Source organism: Homo sapiens, chromosome 3 (assembly GCF_000001405.40).
Source record: "Homo sapiens chromosome 3, GRCh38.p14 Primary Assembly".
Classification (NCBI taxonomy): domain Eukaryota; kingdom Metazoa; phylum Chordata; class Mammalia; order Primates; family Hominidae; genus Homo; species Homo sapiens.
Window position 1 is genome coordinate 72,701,699 of NC_000003.12, and position 17,615 is coordinate 72,719,313.

Here is a 17,615-nt window from a genome sequence, read left to right on the forward strand (position 1 = left end):
TTTATTTATTTATTTATTTATTTATTGAGATGGAGTCTAACTCTATTGCCCAGGCTAGAGTGCAATGCTGTGATCTTGGCTCAATGCAACCTCCACCTCCCAGGTTCAAGCGATTCTCCTCCCTCAGCTCCCTGAGTAGCTGTGATTACAGGCACACACCACCACGTCCGGCTAATTTTTTGTATTTTTTAGTAGAGACGGGGTTTCACCATGTTGGCCAGGCTGGTCTCGAACTCCTGACCTCGTGATCCGCTTGCCTAGGCCTCCCAAAGTGCTGGAATTACGGGGGTGAGCCACTGCGCCCGGCTGTGTCTCTTCTAAAGGAGGCTGTCACCCTCAGCTCCAGCTGGCTTTTCCCAGATCTCCTGGTTTCCCAAGACTAGCCAGAAATCTGCATTCTTTATGAACACTCCATAGTTTTAAAAGTTGATAATGAATTTAAACATTTTTTTAAACTTTCTTTAGGCCAAACAAAACATTTCTGCAGGTGGGATTGGACTATAAATCTGCAGTTTGTAACCTGCAACTGTATTTCTTCCTTATGAGGAGCTACAACAGTCCTGCCCAAAGGACATTTCTATTTCTTGTGGTCAATGAATCCCTTAGCATTAACTGGGAGCCAGATCAACCTAGGTTAAAAATTCCACTTCTGCCACGTACTAGCTGTATGAACCAGAGGAGGTCACTTTGCCTCTAGTGACTCAGTTTCCTCATCTGGAAAGCCGTTGTCAGATAAGTTGAGGGGCAGAGGCATGGCCTGCAAAGGCCAGGCATGCCGTGGGCGTCCCAGAGCAACAGCTCTTCATGCCACCCTCATCTGTCGTCTGTTCTCTGTTGGCTGGTGTCGGGCTGCCAAGAACACTGTGACAGTTGGGACTGTGTGGGCCTCACCCTGTGATAACTAAATCACAAGCAAATATCTCCTGGCCATGACCTTGTTCAGCTGCAGGCCTCTCCTGGGGATGACCTGACCTTGGCGCACTCCTCTCTGAAGTCTGCAGGCTGAAATAAACCACTGTTGGATGGCTGAAGGGGTTCTACATGCTGCGGGTTAAAATTCCTTCCCTGGGAAGGGGAGGTGCTTGTTTCTATCTATCAGGGTCACCCTTAGAAACATGCCCTGACATTCACTTCCCCAGCATTGGTTCACAACACCAGTGAGCTCCAAAAGGAGGTCTGCTCCAAAGGCACCCCAGGTTCTGCCATTAGACTCACTGTTCCACACACATTCATTTGAAGTTCCCATCCAGTGCATAAGGATGGGAAGACACTCTGCTAAATATCTGTCCCGGGAAATATGGAGTGTTCATAAAGAATGCAGATTTCTGGCTTGTCTTGGGAAACCAGGAGATCTGGGAAAACCAAGTTAATTCTACCCAGAAAGGATGAGGGGGAGGTTGCATCCTCCTTTTTGGTACCTTTCATTAAGTAAAACTGACTTTTAGCCTGGGGATCAATCTGAGAACGCAGGTAACAGCGTAGCTGTGATGACCACATTTTTGCATATGCATCTGGGGGACATGTGGCCATTAGACTTCCTGCAAGCATTCTGTCTGGTCGAAGAGAGCACAGCCAGGTTTTGGAAGCAAAAGGCTCAGTCCTAGCTTGGTTATTTCCTTGCTGTGTGAGGACCTTGATCAACCTCCTTAACTCTCCAAGCCTCGGTTTTCTTATCTGCAAAATGGGCAAACAGTAATGCCTGCCTCATTGAGAAGGTAAGAGGAATAAAGGAAAGAATGTCAAATTCTTAGCACAGGGCCGCACTTAGTTGCTAAAACCTGCCACCCCCAAGCTAAGCACTTTACATGAATTAACTAATTTACTCCTCCCAACATCCTATGCATCATGAGGAATAAAGAGCAAGACAGGGCTGGGCGTGGTGGCTCACGACTGTAATCCCAGCACTTTGGGAGGCCGAGGTGGGCGGATCACAAGGTCAGGAGATCGAGACCACAGTGAAACCCCATCTCTATTAAAAATACAAAAAATTAGCTGGGCGCGGTGGCGGGTGCCTGTAGTCCCAGCTACTCGGGAGGCTGAGGCAGGAGAATGGCCTGAACTTGGGAGGCAGAGCTTGCAGTGAGCCGAGATTGCGCCACTGCACTCCAGCCTGGGCGACAGAGCAAGACTCCATCTCAAAAAAAAAAAAAAAAAAAAAAAAAAAAAGAGCAAGACAAATCCAACAGCAGTGTTTAGGAGGAACTGACTTTCAAGGAAAGATAGGGGCATGGATGATACTGCTCTTTCATCCCTGCTGCCCTTCAAGTCTAAGCGTCCACAGAGGAGCCCAGTGGTATTAAAATCATTACAACAATTCAAAACATTCAAAAACAAAACAAGACAAGACAAAGTATTTACAGCATGATTAGATAACCTAATCCACTACTGGGTGGCCCAGGGAGTTCACGGGTCACCGTGTAAATATTTTTGGGCAATAAAATAGTTACTGTTTTTGAGCATTTCCTAGATGCTGCACTGAATATTTTTTACTTATTGTCTTGCTTAAACCGCACAACGGTCCACAGGGATGGATGCATTGTTATCCCCATTATATAGAGGAAGAAACTGAGACTCCAAAGGATCAAGTAATTTAGCCACAGATGCCACCCATAAGGACGGACCATGCTTCCGACACACATAGGATGACTCCAACATCCTTGCTTTAGTTTCCCAAAGCTGCAGTTGGCTTGGACCAAGTGATGAGCTTTAAATCTGAGCTGGAGATAGCACCACCTCCTAGGGACATCTGCTGACAGCGGGGAGAGGAGTAGGGTTGTGGTGGGGGGAAATTAAGAAACAACTATTCAAAATCTGAATAGATCTTCCAAAGTTGCTCTCCTTTTATACAACATCCTTCTTTCTTCCTTCTCCCCTAGAGCTAAATACCTAAAAGAGTGAGCACAGTAGAATCAACTTTGGCTTGAATATGGTGTCCCTGAGTAAATACCAGCTGTGCGACAACCTTGAGTACATCTTTTTGGCTTAAGCAAAAAAAGGAGGGTGCAGGGGGAGGGGTGAGGCTAATGGCATGTATAATTGAAGAGTCCAGGGATACCCTAACTTCAGGTCAGTTTGACATAGGGGCTCAAACCTGTTTTCTCCCTCTCCATCTCTAATAGCTCTACTTCCAGAGGGTCGGCTCCACCTTAGAGGGGTTTTCCCTGCATGGTGGCAACATAGCTGCTGCAGCTCCTGCCCTACATCCTCCTAGATTCCTGTCTATCAGGAAAGTGCCGCAGTTCCAGCAGTCCCAGCAGAAGTTGTATTATGTTTTAGTGGCACGAATGGGGCCACTGCCCAGCCCTGAACCAATCCTTGGGGTCAGAGGATCATGATGAGCTGATCGGCTTCGACCAAGTGATGAGCTTTAAATCTCAGTTGGAGATAGCACCACCTCCTAGGGGCATTTGCTGAATATGGGGAGAGGAGTGGTTTTGGGGTGGGGGGAAATTAAGAAACAATTATTCAAAGTCTGAATGGATTCCAGACATGCTTGACAAAAGGGCAATCTCTCCATGCTTAAATTCCCACTTTGGTAAAATGGGAATTATGATAGTGCCTTAGTCAGTGTGGGCTGCCATAACAAAATACTATAATCCAGGTGACTTAAACAACAGTAACCAGCCGGGCACAGTGGCTCTTGCCTATAACCCTATACTTTGGGAGGCCAAGGTGGGAGGATCACTTGAGCTCAGGATTTCAAGACCAGCCTGGGCAACATAGCGAGACCCCATCTCTACAAAACATTTTAAAAATCAGCCAGGTGTTGTGGCGCATGCCTGTGGTCCCAGCTACTCAGGAGCTGAGGTGGGAGGATTGCTTATGCCCAGCAGGTCAAGGCTGCAGCAAGCCATGATTATGCCACTGCATTCTAGCCTGGGCAACAGAGAAAGACCCTGTCCCAAAACAAAAAACAAAAAAAACAAAAAAAACCACAACAATAATCTACAGTTGACCCTTGAACAACATGGGTTTGAAGTGCATGAGTCCACTTACACATGGATTTTCTTTTGTCTTACCACCCCTGAGACAGCAAGACCAAGCCCTCCTCTTCTTCCTCCTCCTCAGCCTACTCAACATGAAGATGATGAGGATGAAGACCTTCATGATGATCCACTTCCACTTAATGAATAGTAAATATATTTTCTTTTCTTTTTTTTTGAGACGCAGTTTCGCTGTAGTTGCCCAGGCTGGAGTGCAATGGCGCAATCTCAGCTCACCACAACCTCCACCTCCAGGGTTCAAGCGATTCTCCTGCCTCAGCCTCCCGAGTAGCTGGGATTACAGGCATGTGCCACCACACCTGGCTAATTTTGTATTTTTAGTAGAGATGGGGTTCCTCCATGTTGGTCAGGCTGGTCTTGAACTCCTGACCTTAGGTGAGCCACCACACCTGGCCATGATTTTCTTAATAACATTTTCTTTTCTCTAGCTTACTTTATTGTAAGAATATAGAATATAATACATGTAACATATAAAATATGTGTCAATCGACCATTTATGTTATTGGTAAGGCTTCCTGTAAACAGTAGGCTATTAGGAGTTAAGTTTCTGGGGAGTCTCAAGCTATACATAGATTTTTTACTACATGGGGGGTCAGTGTCCCAACCTCTGAATTGTTCAAGCATTAACTGTATTTTCTCACAGTCCTAGAGGCTGAAAGTCCAAGACCAGGGTTCCAGCGTGGTCAGGTTCTGGTGATGGTTTTCCTCCTGACTGCAGACAGGAGGCCTTCTCACTGTGTCCTCACATGGCCTTTCCTTAGTGCATGTACAGAGAGACGGAGAGAGAGTTCTTCATCTTCTTCTACAGGCACTAATCCCATCACCAAGGCCTTACCCCACGACCTCATGTAATCCTAATGACCTCCCAAAAGCCCCGTCTCTAAATACCATCACATTGAGAGTTAGGGCTACAACATTTGAATTTTGTGGGAAGACACAATTTAGTCAATAACAGACAGCATCTACCTTAGTTGATGTGGGAATTAAAAGGGATAATACTACAAAGTTCTAGGAGTATTTGGCTTTTAGTAAGTACCAGTTAATAAACAGGAGCACAAAAAGTATGTTTTTGTGGGGCATGGCAGCTCACACCTGTAATCCCAGCAATTTGAGAGGCTCAGGTGGGAGGATTGTTTGAGCCCAGGAATTCAAGACCAGCCTGGGCAACACAGTGAGACCCCATCTCTACAAAAAAAAATAAAAAATTAGCCCGGTGTGGTGGCGCATGCCTGTAGTGCTAGTGCAAAAACCTATGTTTTTATTTTTTTGACTGATATACAGTAAAATCTATCCATTTTAACTATATAGTTTGATGGATTTTGGTAATTGTATACATCGGTATAATCGCCTGTATAGAGAGCAGCTCCGTCACCTTAGAAGTTCCCCCAGGCCCCTCTGCAGCTGAGCCCCTCCTCTGGTGCCCCAGCCCCAGGGGCAACCACTAGCCTTTCTGTCAACATCGCTTCACCTTTTTTAGAATTTCATATATCTGGAACCACACAGCATCTTTTGTCTTTTGTGTTTGACTTCTTGAAGTTAACATACTGATTCTGAGATTCATTCATGTTGGGGGCTATTAGTATTTTCTTCGTTGATATTCCCCAGTAGTATTCTATTGTATGAATGTACCACAATTTGCTTTTCCATTCACAGTTCATGGACATTAGGGCTGCTTCTAATTTTTTGACTAAGCTGCTCTGAACAATCACGGACAGTTCTTTGTGTACACGTGTGTTCTAGACTATAAGCATTTTACACAGGTTCTCTCTGGTTTATCTCATGGTGTGCAGCAGACGTTTAAAAGTTATTTGTTCTACTAATACATGCTACAATATGGATGATCTTTGAAAACACTGCGCTAAATGAAAGAAGCCACCCATTAAAAAACACATATAGTACAATCCCGCTTACAAAAAACATCCAGAATAGGCAAATCTATACAGACAGAAAGTAGATCAGTGTTTGCCCAGGCCTGGTGGATTTGGGGGGAAATGAAGAATGACTGCTAATGAATGCGGAGTTTCTTTTCAGGGTGAGACAATGTTCTAAAATTCATTGTGTGATCATGTTTTCACAACTCTGTGAATACACAAAAAACCATGGAATTGGGCCGGGCACGGTGGCTCATGCCTGTAATCCCAGCACTTTGGGAGGCTGAGGCGGGCAGATCACGAAGTCAAGAGATCAAGACCATCCTGGCCAAAATGGTGACACCCCGTTTCTACTAAAAATACACAAAAAATTAGCTGGGCATGGTGGTGCATGCCTGTAGTCCCAGCTACTTGGGAGGCTGAGGCAGGAGAATCACTTGAACCCGGGAGGTGGAGGTTGCAGTGAGCCGAGATCCCGCCACTGCACTCCAGCCTGGGGACAGAGCGAGACTCGGTCTCAAAAAGAAAAAAAACCACTAAATTGTACATTTTCAATGGGTGAATTGTATGATGTGTGAATTATATTTCAATAAAGCTGTAACAATTATTCATTAAATCAATTAATGATTAAATCATTAGATGATTCCATGTATGAATGAATATTCTTGTTTCCTGGCTGTTTAATCACTCTGATACCCTTTGGTACATATTTTTAATTCAATTTAATCCAACACATTTATTGGACATCTATTAAGTTTCAGATATAGTAATTGGGACTGGAGGTTTTCAAAGACATAGGAGACAAGCAGTTGATCTTCTCAAAGACACACACTTGAGAGAAGGAAACAGATAATAATTGCAGCTGCAATAGCTAACACTTATACTTCACTTACAATTGTGCCAGGCACAAAGAATGATCTCCAGTCTAATTATAAATATGCATGCCTATATATTTGTATATACATTTTGTTCATGTAATCTTCACAGCAACCCTTGAGGGAGGTACTGGCATATTTTCATTCTTTAGGTGGGAACACTGATGCACAGAGTGGGTCAGTAACTTGCCTGAGGTCACACAGCTAGTAAATGGCATGCTGAGACTTGAAGCCCAGGAAGCCTGGCTCTGGGGTCCACGGCTTTGACCACTATGCTCAATTGCCCATTCAGGGCGATACTGCTCCAATGTCATGGAGTTCTGGAATGGCAGGAGCATAAGAACTGAGGGTACTCTCATGTCTCCCCTTGCACAACTTGAGTTCTGTCATCATACCTTCCCCTTGCCAGCCTCTGTCCATGATCACAACCTGGAGACCCCAGGAAAAGATGCCCCAGCTCTGGCTCCAGAATCAAGTTCTGCGTCGTGACCTCTCTGCTTCTCTTTCTCTCCTGCAGCAAAGTAGAAACACCACAGTGTGTTGTGGATTAAAGTGTGTCCCTCCCCAACTCATCTGTTAAAACCCTAACCCCCAATGTGACTGCATTTGTAGATAGGGCCTTTAAAGAGATAATTAAAGGTAAATGAGGTCATGAGAGTGGGACCCTAATCTAATAGGACTGTGCCCTTATGAGAATAAGGACAGACACCAGGGAAGCACCTGCACTGGGAAAAGGCCACAAGAGGACACAGCAAGAAAGTGGCCATAGGCAAGCCGAAAGGAGAAGAGAAAAACAAACCTGCTCACACTTGATCTTGGCCTTCCAGTCTCCAGAACTGTGAGACATAAATTCTGTTGTTTAAGCCACCTAGTGTGTGATATTTTATTATTACAATCTAGGAAGCTAACACACTGCTAGACATCTGCTCCTTTTAGGGACGAAGCTGACCTGGCCCTGGCTGGGAGAGACAGTGACTCAGAGAGGAAAGGTCTGAAATGTGGGCCCTTCTTGAAAATCTTGCCTGGAGGTGGGCACTGGGTTGGGCCTCTGGAAGAATCTCATCAAACCAGGGGTGTGCATCAGCCAGCTCACATGCTCCCAAGAGCTGATTTGAAAATTTCCAGGAATTTTGCAAGCTGCTTATTAAACACAGCCATTATTAAAAATAACAGAAACCTTCACTAAACAAAGTATGTTAAAAATAAAGGTAATATAGACCAGTTTACTAAAGTGAAAAAAGAAAAAAAAAATAAAAAATAAAGGTAATAATACTACGAACCATCCCTTCCTAAGTATTTTGCTATATTTTACTATTATGTGTGATTGAGATTATTTATATCTACTGTTATCTGTAGTGGATACACCACATAATGGTGTGCTATTATGCATCTCTTCCCACATCCACATTCAGTGACACCACACATCAAGGTAGGAGCATTTACACCACAGACAGTGGCAAACACTGTGAATCAGAGGTTAAGCTACCATCGTCAACTGTCTAGACTTAGGAAAGTGATAAAGAAAATGTTGATACCAAGTGTCTTGTGTATGCAGCTGTTACATTATGAATAGCACAAAGAATTAGAAAATACTCTTCCAATACTGAAGAACTATTAACCAATTAAGCAAAGAAGTCTCTATGCCATTGATAAATGCATATTTCTTTGTTGTTTCACTGTCATCTTACTCTTTTTTTTTTTTTTTTTTTTGAGACGAAGCTTCGTTCTTATTCCCCAGGCTGGAGTGCAATGGCATGTGATCTCGGCTCACTGCAACCTGCACTTCCCAGGTTCAAGTGAGTCTTCTGCCTCAGCCTCCTGAGTAGCTGGGATTACAGGCTCCCACCACCACACTCAGCTAAATTTTTGTATTTTTAGTAGAGATGGGGTTTCTTTTATTATTATTATTATACTTTAAGTTCTAGGGTACATGTACACAATGTGCAGGTTTGTTACATATGTATACATGTGCCATGTTGGTGTGCTGCACCCATTAACTTGCCATTTATATTAGGTATATCTCCTAATGCTTTCCCTCCCCCCTTCCCCCACCCCACAACAGGCCCCGGTGTATGATGTTCCCCTTCCTGCGTCCAAGTGTTCTCCTTGTTCAATTCCCACCTATGAGTGAGAACATGCAGTGTTTGGTTTTTTGTCCTTGCGATAGTTTGCTCAGAATGATGGTTTCCAGCTTCAACCATATCCCTACAAAGGACATGAACTCATCCTTTTTTATGGCTGCATACTATTCCATGGTGTATATGTGCCACATTTTCTTAATCCAGTCTATCATTGATGGACATTTGGGTTGGTTCCAAGTCTTTGCTATTGTGAATAGTGCCGCAATAAACATATGTATTCATGTGTCTTTATAGCAGCATGATTTGTAATCCTTTGGGTATATACCCAGTAATGGGATGGCTGGGTCAAATGGTATTTCTAGTTCTAGATCCTTGAGGAATCACCACAGTGTCTTCCACAATGGTTGAACTAGTTTACAGTCCCACCAACAGTGTAAAAGTGTTCCTACTTCTCCACATCCTCTCCAGCACCTGTTGTTTCCTGACTTTTTAATGATTGCCATTCTAACTGGTGTGAGATGATATCTCATTGTGGTTTTAATTGGCATTTCTCTGATGGCCAGTGATGATGAGCATTTTTTCATGTGTCTGTTGGCTGCATAAATGTCTTCTTTTGAGAAGTGTCTGTTCATACCCTTCGCCCACTTATTGATGGGTTGTTTGTGTTTTTCTTGTAAATTTGTTTGAGTTCTTTGTAGATTCTGGATATTAGCCCTTTGTCAGATGAGCAGATTGCAAAAATTTTCTCCCATTTTGTAGGTTGCCTGTTCACTCTGATGGTAGTTTCTTTGCTGTGCAGAAGCTCCTTAGTAAATTAGATCCCATTTGTCAATTTTGGCTTTTGTTGCCATTGCTTTTGGTGTTTTAGACATGAAGTCCTTGCCCATGCCTATGTCCTGAATGGTATCGCCTAGGTTTTCTTCTAAGGTTTTTATGGTTTTAGGTCTAACATTTAAGTCTTTGATCCATCTTGAATTAATTTTTGTATAAGGTGTAAGGAAGGGATCCAGTTTCAGCTTTCTACATATGGCTAGCCAGTTTTCCCAGCACCATTTATTAAATAGGGAATCCTTTCCCCATTGCTTGTTTTTGTCAGGTTTGTCAAAGATCAGATGGTTGTAGATGTGTGGTATTATTTCTGAGGGCTCTGTTCTGTTTCATTGGTCTATATCTCTGTTTTGGTACCAGTACCATGCTGTTTTGGTTACTGTAGTCTTGTAGTATAGTTTGAAGTCAGGTAGCGTGATGCCTCCAGCTTTGTTCTTTTGGCTTAGGATTGTCTTGGAAATGTGGGCTCTTTTTTGGTTCCATATGAACTTTAAAGTAGTTTTTTCCAATTCTGTGAAGAAAGTCATTGGTAGCTTGATGGGGATGGCATTGAATCTATAAATTACCTTGGGTAGTATGGCCATTTTCATGATATTGATTCTTCCTACCCATGAGCATGGAATGTTCTTCCATTTGTTTGTATCCTCTTTTATTTCCTTGAGCAGTGGTTTGTAGTTCTCCTTGAAGAGGTCCTTCACATCCCTTGGAAGTTGGATTCCTAGGTATTTTCTTCTCTTTGAAGCAATTGTGAATGGGAGTTCACTCATGATTTGGCTTTCTGTCTGTTATTGGTGTATAAGAATGCTTGTGATTTTTGCACATTGATTTTGTATCCTGAGACTTTGCTAAAGTTGCTTATCAGCTTACGGAGATTTTGGGCTGAGACGATGGGGTTTTCTAAATATATAATCACGTCATCTGCAAACAGGGACAATTTGACTTCCTCTTTTCCTAACTGAATACTCTTTATTTCTTTCTCCTGCCTGATTGTCCTGGCCAGAACTTCCAACACTATGTTGAATAGGAGTGGTGAGAGAGGGCATCCCTGTCTTGTGCCAGTTTTCAAAGGGAATGCTCCCAGTTTTTGCCCATTCAGTATGATATTGGCTGTGGGTTTGTCATAAATAGTTCTTATTATTTTGAGATATGTCCCATCAATACCTAATTTATTGAGAGTTTTTAGCATGAAGGGCTGTTGAATTTTGTCAAAGGTCTTTTCTGCATCTATTGAGATAATCATGCAGTTTTTGTCTTTGGTTCTGTTTATATGCTGGATTACGTTTATTGATTTGCGTATGTTGAACCAGCCTTGCATCCCAGGGATGAAGCCCACGTCATCATGGTGGATAAGCTTTTAGAGGTACTTCTGGATTCAGTTTGCCAGTATTTTATTGAGGATTTTTGCATCGATCTTCATCAGGGATATTGGTCTAAAATTCTCTTTTTTTGTTGTGTCTCTGCCAGCCTTTGGTATCAGGATGATACTGGCCTCATAAAATGAGTTAGGGAGGATTCCCTCTTTTTCTATTGATTGGAATAGTTTCAGAAGGAACGGTACCAGCTCCTTCTTGTACCTCTGGTAGAATTTGGCTGTGAATCCGTCTGGTCCTGGACTTTTTTTGGTTGGTAGGCTATTAATTATTGCCTCAAATTCAGAGCCTGTTATTGGTCTATTCAGGGATTCAACTTCTTCCTGGTTTAGTCTCGGGAGGGTGTATGTGACCAGGAATTTATCCATTTCTTCTAGATTTTCTAATTTATTTGTGTAGAGGTGTTTATAGTATTCTCTGATGGTAGTTTGTATTTCTGTGGGATCAGTGGTGATATCCCCTTTATCATTTTTTATTGCATCTATTTGATTCTTCTCTCTTTTCTTCTTTATTAGTCTTGCTAGTGGTCTATCAATTTTGTTGATCTTTTCAAAAAACCAGATCCTGGATTCATTGATTTTCTGAAGGGTTTTTTTGTGTCTCTATCTCCTTCAGTTCTTCTCTGATCTTAGTTCTTTCTTGCCTTCTGCTAGCTTTTGAATGTGTTTGCTCTTGCTTCTCTAGTTCTTTTAATTGTGATGTTAGGGTGTCAATTTTAGATCTTTCCTGCTTTCTCTTGTGGGCATTTAGTGCTATAAATTTCCCTCTACACACTGCTTTGAATGTGTCCCAGCGATTCTGGTATGTTGTCTTTGTTCTCATTGGTTTCAAAGAACATCTTTATTTCTGCCTTCATTTCGTTATGTACCCAGTAGTCACTCAGGAGCAGGTTGTTCAGTTTCCATGTAGTTGAGCGGTTTTGAGTGAGTTTCTTAATCATGAGTTCTAGTTTGATTGCACTGTGGTCTGAGAGACAGTTGATTATAATTTCTGTTCTTTTACATTTGCTGAGGAGTGCTTTACTTCTAACTATGTGGTCAATTTTGGAATAAGTGCGATGTGGTGCTGAGAAGAATGTATATTCTGTTGATTTGGGGTGGAGAGTTCTGTAGATGTCTATTAGGTCTGCTTGGTGCAGAGCTGAGTTCAATTCCTGGATATCCTTGTTAACTTTCTGTCTCATTGATCTGTCTAATGTTGACAGTGGGGTGTTAAATTCTCCCATTATTATTGTGTGTGAGTCTAAGTCTCTTTATAGGTCTCTAAGGACTTGCTTTATGAATGTGGGTGTCCCTGTATTGGGTGCATATATATTTAAGATAGTTAGCTCTTCTTGTTGAATTGATCCCTTTACCATTATGTAATGGCCTTCTTTGTCTCTTTTGATCTTTGTTGGTTTAAAGCCTGTTTTATCAGAGACTAGGATTGCAACCCCTGCCTTTTTTTGTTTTCCATTTGCTTGGTAGATCTTCCTCCATCCCTTTATTTTGAGCCTATGTGTGTCTCTGCATGTGAGATGGGTCTCCTGAATACAGCAATCTGATGGGTCTTGACTCTTTATCCAATTTGCCAGTCAGTGTCTTTTAATTGGAGGATTTAGCCCATTTACATTTAAGGTTAATATTGTTATATGTGAATTTGATCCTCTCATTATGATGTTAGCTGGTTATTTTGCTCGTTAGTTGATGCAGTTTCTTCCTAGCATCGATGGTCTTTACAATTTGGCATGTTTTTGCAGTGGCTGGTACCGGTTGTTCCTTTCCATGTTTAGTGCTTCCTTCAGGAGCTCTTGTAGGGCAGGCCTGGCGGTGACAAAATCTCTCAGCATTTGCTTGTCTGTAAAGGATTTTATTTCTCCTTCACTTATGAAGCTTAGTTTGGCTGGATATGAAATTCTGGGTTGAAAATTCTTTTCTTTATGAATATTGAATATTGGCCCAACTCTCTTCTGGCTTGTAGAGTTTCTGCCAAGAGATCCACTGTTAGTCTGATGGGTTTCCCTTTCTGGGTAACCTGACCTTTCCCTCTGGCTGCCCTTAACATTTTTTCCCTCATTTCAACTTTGGTGAATCTGACGATTATGTGTCTTGGAGGTGCTCTTCTCAAGGAGTATCTTTGGGGTGTTCTCTCTATTTCCTTAATTTGAATGTTGGCCTGCCTTGCTAGGTTGGGGAAGTTCTCCTGCATAATATCCTGAAGAGTGTTTTCCAACTTGGTTCCATTCTCCCCATCACTTTCAGGTACACCAATCAGACGTAGAGTTGTCTTTTCACATAGTCCCATATTTCTTGGAGGCTTTGTTCATTTCTTTTTATTCTTTTTTCTCTACACTTCTGTTCTCACTTCATTTCATTCATTTGATCTTCAATCACTGATACCCTTTCTTCCAGTTGATCAAATTGGCTACTGAAGCTTGTGCATTCGTCACGTAGTTCTCGTGCCATGGTTTTCAGCTCAATCAGGTCATTTAAGGACTTCTCCACACTGGTTATTCTAGTTAGCCATTCATCTAATCTTTTTCCAAGGTTTTTAACTTCTTTGCGTTGGGTTGGAGCTTCCTCCTTTAGCTCAGAGAAGTTCGAGTGTCTGAAGACTTCTTCTCTCAACTCGTCAAAGTCATTGTCCATCCAGTTTTGTTGCGTTGCTGGTGAGGAGCTGTGTTCCTTTGGAGGGGGAGACGTGCTCTGATTTTTAGAATTTTCAGCTTTTCTGCTCTGTTTTTTCCCCATCTTTGTGGTTTTATCTACTTTTGGACTTTGATGATGGTGACCGACAGATGGGGTTTTGGTGTGGATGTCCTTTCTGTTTGTTAGTTTTCCTTCTAACAGTCAGGACCCTCAGCTGCAGGTCTGTTGGAGTTTGCTAGAGGTCCACTCCAGACCCTGTTTGCCTGGGTATCAGCAGCGGAGCCTGCAGAACAGCACATATTGCTGTACAGCAAATGTTGCTGCCTGATCATTCCTCTGGAAGCTTCATCTCAGAGGGGTACCCAGCCATGTGAGGCGTCAGTCTGCCCCTACTGCGGTGTGCCTCCCAGTTAGGCTACTTGCAGGCTACTCAGAGGTCAGGGACCCACTTGAGGAAGCAGTCTGTCCGTTCTCAGATCTCAAACTCCATGCTGGGAGAACCACTACTCTCTTCAAGTCCCTGTCAGACAGGGACATTTAAGTCTGCAGAGGTTTCTGCTGTCTTTTGTTCGGCTATGCCCTGCCCCCAGAGGTGGAGTCTACAGAGGCAGGCAGGCCTCCTTGAGCTGCGGTGGGCTCCACCCAGTTCGAGCTTCCTGGCCACTTTGTTTACCTACTCAAGCCTCAGCAATAGTGGGCGCCCCTCCCCAAGCCTCACTGCCGCCTTGCAGTTCGAACTCAGACTGCTGTGCTAGCAATGAGCAAGGCTCCATGGGCGTGGGACCCTCCAAGCCAGGCGCGGGATATAATCTCCTGGTGTGCCATTTGCTGAGACCATTGGAAAAGTGCAGTATTAGGGTGAGAGTGACCCGATTTTCCAGGTGCCGTCTGTAACCCCTTCCCTTGGCTAGGAAAGGGAATTCCCTGACCCCTTGCACTTCCTGGGTGAGGCGATGCCTCACCCTGCTTTGGCTCACACTCAGTGGGCTGCACCCACTGTCCTGCCCCCACTGTCCAATGAGACCCAGTGAGATGAACCCAGTACCTCAGTTGGAAATGCAGAAATCACCCGTCTTCTGCGTTGCTCATGCTGGGAGCTATAGACTGGAGCTGTTCCTATTCGGCCATCTTGGAACCGCAGAGATGGGGTTTCACCACGTTGCCCAGGCTGGTCTCAAACTCCTGACCTCAGGTGATCTGCCTGCCTTGGCCTCCCAAAGTACTGGGATTACAGGTATGAGCCACTGCGCCTGGCCTCTTACTCTTTAACATAAGCAAAAATATCAACCAACATTCGTATCCAAACTGCACTCACTCATGATTTGCAACTATTGGTTGGCTACTGATATGGGAGTTGAGCAAAGTCTATAAAAGTATTTTGTGAAAATCAACTGGCTGTGTGGAATTTATAAGAAAGACTTTTGCACATTTTATTATTCTCAAATTGTTTACTCAGTAAAATTTCTTAAAAATATATGCAAGAGCATATGTAGCTTTTCTGAAGCAGCATTTATTAAACATTTACTGGCACACCATTGCATTAAACTCTCCCCATTTGAGGAGATTGGGCCCCAGAGGGTAGACATGCCCGCCCAAGACATGGGCGGATCCATGACCCCCACCCTGCTCCTCCCACCCCATCAAGGCTACTTCTGCCATCTAATACCAGCCCTTCCAGGGGGGATTGTAAAAGGATGGCCCAGTGAGACAGGAAAATTCTCTGGGGTTCAACCATTTACAATTATTCCTGAAACCGTCTGGGTGCCATACAAATAGCTAAGCCATAAATCATAAGAGGTGCATAAAATCATATGAAGTTAAACATACAGCTAAACAAAATCCAGCAATTTCATTTCTAGGTATTTACCCAAGAGAAATAAAAACATATGTGCCCACAAAACTTACATATGAATGCTCATAGCAGATTTATTCCCAATATCCCCAAACTGGAAACAACCCAAATGTCCATCAAAAGGCACTGGATAAACAAACTGTGATATATTCCACATAATAGAATACTACTCAGCAATAAAAATGAATGGACCATTGATCCACAGAAAAATATGGATGAATTTCAAATAATTATGCTGAGTAAAAGAGCCAAACATAAATGAGTGCATGCTGTGTGATTCCACTTTATATAACATTCTAGAAAAGCCAAACATTGAAGGACAGAAACCAGGTTAGTATTTGCTGGGTACTGGAAGGGACAGACTGCTAAGTGGCAGAGGGGAGGGAATTGTTGGAGGATGGAAAGGCTACATATCTTGAGTTTGGTGAGGATTCCACAGGTGTACCCACTTGCCAAAACTGTGCTTGAACATGAGTGCATTTTATTATATGAAAGCTATACCTCACCAAAGCTGATTTTAAAAGTACTAGGTATGTAACCTTGGTCAAGTTATTCTGCTTTCCTGGGCCTCAGTTTCCTCATCTGTAAAATGTAATAATAGTTGCTATACTGTGAAGATTAAAGAAGAGACTATGGGTAAACCCTTAGAACAATGCCTCACACACAGGTGTGTACAATTAATACAGCAGTGCCCCCTTATCCAGGAGAATATGTTCCAAGACCCTCAGTGCATGCCTGAAACTTCAGATAGTTCTTTTTTCTTTTCTTTTCTTTTCTTTTCTTTTCTTTTCTTTTTTTTTTTTTTTTTTGAGACGGAGTCTCACTCTGTCACCCAGGCTGGAGTGCAGTGGCACAATCTTGGCTCACTGCAACCTCCGCCTCCCAGGTTCAAGTGATTCTCCTGCCTCAGCCTCGTAGATAGGATTACAGCTGTGTGCCATCACACCCAGCTAACTTTTGTATTTTTAGTAGAGATGGCGTTTTACCATGTTGCCTAAGCTGGTCTCAAACTCCTGACCTCAGGTATCCACCTGCCTCAGCCTCCCAAAGTACTGGGTTTACAGGTGTGCGTCACTGTGCCCATCCAACTTCAGTTAGTTCTTTTTTTTTTTTTTTTTTTTTTGTATTTTTAGTAGAGACAGGGTTTCACCGTGTTAACAAGGATGGTCTCGATCTCCTGACCTCTTGATCCATCTGCCTCGGCCTCCCAAAGTGCTGGGATTAAAGACTTGAGCCACTGCGCCCGGCCTAACTTCAGTTAGTTCTAAACCCTGCATATACACTATGTTCTTTCCCTTATATATATATATACCTATGATTAAGTTTATAAATTAGGCACAGTAAGAGATTAGCAACAATAATAATAAATAAATAATAAAATAAATAATAATAAAATCAAACGATTATAGCAATATGCTATAATAAAAGTTATGTGAATGTGGTCTTTCTATCTCAAATATCTTATTTTACTGTAGTCACCTGTTTTCAGACTGCAGTCGATTGAAAGTAACTAAAATCTCCGAAAGCAAAACCATGGATAAAAGGAAACTATTGTACTAGTTTACGTTGCTTGTTGGTTTTTGTTAAACTATAACTAATCCAGTAACAGGTATTCATTCATGCAATAAATCAACAAATATTTATTAAGCACCTACTACATTCTAGGCATTGTTCTAAACACTTGAAATGCAAAAGTGGGCTAAGTGCAGTGGCTCACGCCTATAATCCCAGCACTTTGCGAGGCCTTGGATCAGGAGTTCAAGATCAGCCTGGGCAACATAGCAAAATCCTGTCTCTACAAAAAATACAACAAAGCCAGGCATGGTGACACGTGCCTGTTGTCTCAGCTTCTTGGGAGGCTGAGATGGGAGGATTACCTGGGCCTGGGAAGGTGAGGCTGCAGTGAGCTGTGATTGTACCTCTGCACTCCAACCTGGGTGACAGACTGAGACCCAGTCTCAAAAATAGAAAGGAAGGAAGGAAGGAAGGAAGGAAGGAAGGAAGGAAGGAAGGAAGGAAGGAAGGAAGGAAGGGTAAGGGTAGGGAAGGGAAGGGAAAGAAAGGAAAGGAAAGGAAAGGAAAAGAGAGAGAGAGAGAAGAAAAGGAA

General features: G+C 42.8%; 1 long non-coding RNA gene across 1 annotated transcript in view; it reads right to left on the reverse strand.

Annotated features, from left to right (window-relative positions):
* The window catches only part of LOC105377161 (uncharacterized), a 134,312-nt gene extending 119,569 nt beyond the window's left edge, over positions 1–14,743 (reverse strand). Inside the window, exons 1-2 of the long non-coding RNA XR_940962.3 lie at positions 14,702–14,743; positions 7,146–7,261 (exon numbers count right to left, since the gene is read on the reverse strand). This is a non-coding gene — a long non-coding RNA (uncharacterized LOC105377161). The remainder of the gene's footprint in view (positions 1–7,145; positions 7,262–14,701) is intronic.
* Between the last annotated feature and the right edge of the window lie 2,872 nt (positions 14,744–17,615).